The sequence below is a fragment of the Homo sapiens genome, chromosome 14, assembly GCF_000001405.40.
Source record: "Homo sapiens chromosome 14, GRCh38.p14 Primary Assembly".
Classification (NCBI taxonomy): Eukaryota; Metazoa; Chordata; class Mammalia; order Primates; family Hominidae; genus Homo; species Homo sapiens.
In genome coordinates, this window is record NC_000014.9 from 66,148,157 (window position 1) to 66,153,221 (window position 5,065).

The 5,065-nt window shown below is 38.2% G+C and overlaps 1 annotated feature.

Annotated features, from left to right (window-relative positions):
• Nucleotides 4,182-4,382: a silencer, noted in NCBI's record as "peak2176 fragment used in MPRA reporter construct". NCBI's record gives its function as "represses an SCP1 promoter by STARR-seq MPRAs in K562 erythroleukemia cells {active_cell/tissue: K562}" and the evidence as "EXISTENCE:reporter gene assay evidence [ECO:0000049][PMID:32103011]".

Sequence of the window (5,065 nt, forward strand, 5' to 3'; positions counted from 1 at the left end):
ATATTGAATGAGCAAAAGCTGGAGGCATTCCCTTTGAAAACTGGTACAAGACAAATATGCCCTTTATCACCACTCCTATTCAACATAGTATTGGAAGTTTTGGCCAGGACAATCAGGCAAGAGAAAGAAATAAAGCATATTCAATTAGGAAGAAAGGAAGTCAAATGTTCTCTGTTTGCAGATGACATGATTTTATGTCTAGAAAATCCCATCATCTCAGTCCAAAAACTCCTTAAACTGATAAGCAACTTCAGCAAAGTCTCAGGATACAAAACCAATGTGCAAAAATCTCAAGCATTTTTATACACCAACAAAGACAAGCAGAGAGCCAAATCATGAATGAACTCCCATTCACAATTGCTACAAAGAAAATAAAATACCTAGGAATACAGCTAACAAGGGAAGTGAAGGACCTTTTCAAGGAGAAATACAAGTTACTGCTCAAGGAAATAAGAGAGGATACAAACAAATGGAAAAATATTTTATCCTCATGGATAAGAAAAATCAATATCGTGAAAATGGCCATACTGCCCAAAGTAATTTATAGATTCAATGCTATTCCCATCAAACTACCATTGACATTCTTCACAGAATTAGAAAAAAACTGTTTTAAATTTCATATGGAATCAAAGAAGACCCCATATAGCCAAGACAATCCTGAGCAAAAAGAACAAAGCTGGAGGCATCACTCTGCCTGACTTAAAACTATACTACAAGGCTACAGTAACCAAAACAGCATGGTACTGGTACCAAAACAGCATGGTACTGGTACCAAAACAGAAAGATAGACCAATGGAACAGATCAGAGACCTCAGAAATAATACCACACATCTACAACCATCTGATTTTTGACAAACCTGACAAAAACAAGCAATGGGGAAAGGATCTCCTATTCAATAAATGGTGCTGAGAAAACTGGTTAGCCATATGCAGAAAGCTGAAACTGGACCCCTTCCTTACACATTATACAAAAATTAACTCAAGATATATTAAAGATGTAAATGTAAAACCCAAAACCATAAAAACCCTAGAAGAAAATCTAGGCAATACCATTCAGGACATAGGCATGGGCAAAGACTTCATGATGAAAATGCCAAAAGCAATTGCAACAGAAGCCAAAATTGACAAATGGGATCTAATTAAACTAAAGTGCTTCTGCACAGCAAAAGAAACTATCATCAGAGTGAACAGTCAACCTACAGAATGGGAGAAAATTTTTGCAATCTACCCATCTGACATAGGTCTAATATATAGAATTTAAAAGGAACTTAAACACATTTACAAGGAAAAAAAAACCCCATCAAAAAGTGGGCAAAGGATATGAACAGACACTTCTAAAAGAAGACATTTATGTGGCCAACAAACATATGAAAAAAACCTCAACATCACTGATCATTAGAGAAATGCAAATCAAAACCACAATGAAATACCATCTCAGGCCAGTCAGAATGGCGGTTATTAAAAAGTCAAGAAACAATAGATGCTGGTGAGGCTGTGGAGAAATGGGAATGCTTTTACACTGTTGGTGGGAATGTAAATTAGTTCAAACATTGTGGAAGACAGTATGGCAATTCCTCAAGGATCTGGAACCAGAAATACCACTTGACCCAGCAATCCCATTACTGGTTCTATACCCAAAGGAATATAAACCATTTTACTATAAAGACACATGCACATGTATGTTTACTGCAGCACTATTTACAATAGCAAAGATATGGAACCAACCCAAATGCTCATCAATGATAGACTGGACAAAGAAAATGTGGTACATATATACTATGGAATACTACATAGCCATAAAAAGGAATGAGATCATGTCCTTTGCAGGGACGTGGATAAAGCTGGAAGCCATCATTCTCAGCAAACTAACACAGGAATAGAAAACCAAACTCATGTTCTAACTCATAGGTGGGAGTTGAACAATGAGAACACATGGACACAGGTAGGGTACAACACATACCAGGGCCTGTTACAGGTAGAGGGCGAGGGGAGGGAACTTAGAGGATGGGTCAATAGGTGCAGCAGACCACCATGGCACACGTATACCTATGTAACAAACCTGCACATTCTGCACATGTATCCCGAAACTTAAAGTAAAATTAAAAAAAGAAACATCCTTAAAAAAGTAACACATTTGTTTATATGTTTGTGTTTGCATATATATATATATATATATGTCTGCAAATGAGAAGGAATAAAAAAATCACTTCACTGAGAAAAAAAAAACAGAGATGATACAAACAAATAGAAAAACATTCCATGCTCATGGATAAGAAGAATCAATATCATTGAAATGGCCATACTGCTCAAAGCAATTTATAGACTCAGTGCTATTCCTATCAAGCTACCAATGACATTTCTCACATAATTAGAAAAAAACTATTTTAAAAATCACATGGAACCCAAAAGAAAATCCCAAATAGCCAAGGCTATAACAAAGCTGGAGGCATCATGCCACCCTACTTCAACTATACTACAGGGCTACAGTAACCAAAACAACATGATACTGGTATGAAAACAAACACACAGACGAATGGAACACAATAGAGAGCCCAGATATAAAGCTGCACACCTGCAATTATTAGATCTTCGACAAACTGGACACAAACAAGAAATGGGGAAAGGACTCCCTTTTCAATAAATGGTGCTGGGAATACCAGCTATCCATATGCAGAAGATTGAAACTGGACCCCTTCCTTATACCATATACAAAAAAACTCAAGGTGGTTTAAAGACTTAAATGTAAAATATAAAACTATAAGAACCCTGGAAGATAACCTAGGAAATATCATTCTGGACATAGGTCCTGGCAAAGATTTTGTAACAATGATACCTAAAGCAACTGCAATAAAAATAAAAATCAACAAATGGGACCTAATTAAACTAGAGAGTTTCTGCACAGCAAAATAAGCTATCAACAGAATAAACAGACAACTTACAGAACGGGAGAAAATATTTTCAAGCCATGTATCCAACAAAGGTCTAGTATCCAAGAATGTATAAAGAACTTAAACAAATTTACATGAAAAACAAACAACCCCATTAAAAAGTGGGCAAAGGACATGAACAGACACTTTTGAAAAGAAGACATATACATGGCCAACAGGCATATGAAAAAATGCTCAGCATCACTAATCATCAGAAAAATGCAAATCAAAACCACAATGAGACACCATCTCACACCAGTCACAATGACTGTTATTAAAAAGCCAAACAATAACAGATGCTGGTATGGTTGTGGAGAAAAGGGAACACTTAAACACTGCTGGTACAAATATAAATTAGTTCAGCCATTGTGGAAAGCAGTGTGGTGATTTCTGAAAGAACTTAAAACAGAATTACCATTTGACCCAGCAATTCCATTACTGGGTATATACCCAAAGGAATATAAATTGTTCTACCATAAAGACACATGCATGCATATGTTCATCACAGCACTATTCACAATAGCAAAGATATGGAATCAACCTAAATGCCCATCAGTGGTAGACTGGATGAAGAAAATGGGGTACATAAATACCATGGAATACTATGTAGCCATAAAAAATGAGATCATGTCCTTTGCAGCAACATGGATGGAGCCAGAGGCCATTATCCTAAGTGAATTCATGCAGGAACAGAAAACCAAGTACCACATCTTCTCACTTATAAGTGGGAGCTACACTGAGTATACATGGACACAAAGAAGAGAACAACAGATACTGGGGCCTACGTGAGAGTGGAGGGTGTAAGAAGTGAGAAGATTGAAAACTTCTTACTGGGTACTATGCTTATTATTTGAGTGATGAAATAATCCTTCCACCAAACCTCCGTGACATGCAGCTTACCTGTAAAACAAACCTGCACATGTACCCCTGAACCTAAAATAAAAGTTAAAAAAAAAGCGACAACTAAGCTCTATGTGACTCAAGGGCAAGAAATGTGTCTAATATTTTCTTGCTGTTTCCACTGGGCCAGAAGCATGCTCACATTAAGAGCTCCTTGTATGGCTACTACCTAGTTCCATTGAGAAGGACTGGGTATCAGGCAAAGAGCACGGAGGTGGGAAACAGAAGAGCTGGTCCAGTTCTGGCTCTGCTCTATGACCCCGAGCAAGCCCCTCTGCCTCGCTGAGCCCCATGTATCACATATGTGAAAGGACACCACCACCACTCTGCACAATGCTGTGTGAGGTCAGATAAATAATGTGCACTGAAGTCCTGAATACACTAAGCTTAAAGCCCTGGTCACAGGAAAGGTGTTTCTGCTCTGTCTTTCCCTCTCTCCCCACACAGGCCACTGAAGACACATTTTAGAAAAAATCCTGGAACTGATGAGTCAGCACTTTCCAATCACTGGGGACAGGTCTAAAATTTCAAGGCTGTTAGTACAGACAACTGAGAGAAACACAGAGAGGACTTTTTCAGTCTGGAAGATAGGCAGGAGGGTACTTAAAAGAGAAAGTCAGAAGCCCAGAAACAAAATGTATCCCCAAGCCCAGGGTCATTCAGTTCCTTCTGCAGAGGCCCAGGGTTAGAATTAAGTGGGCAGCAATTTAGTGGCAACAAGAGACATAAAGGAGACATTTGCAGGTTTTTACTTTTCCTGCAACCAGATATTTCAGAAATAAGGCCTCATCTGGGGTCTCCCTAAAGTTAATGAGACTGAGCTGACAGTTCATTGACTTGCTTCACGGAATTTATTTTATGAGAGTCTCTAATCCACATGGCTCCTCTTTGCTTTGGGACTCAACCAAAATAAACTCCAGAAATCCCACTAGCTTATTTATACTTACCAGGTCACTTCATACGCCGTGTGCATTCAATCAACATAATTATTATTTAATTCTGAGAGAGAAAACACGATTTTAGTGACTAATTTAATTCAGCTGAGCACACACATGCATGCACATTTGTGTGTGTATGGCTAAGCGCTCAAGTTACAGTTATATAATAAACTTTCCACAGGCACTGGGCTTCCTGTTCAACTTCCTATCATCCAGATTAATTTTATAGGGGAGGGCTCTGAAACTAAAAAGCAAAGATTTCCCAACTGGCCCAGAAGAGGAAGAGAAAAATCTTGGACC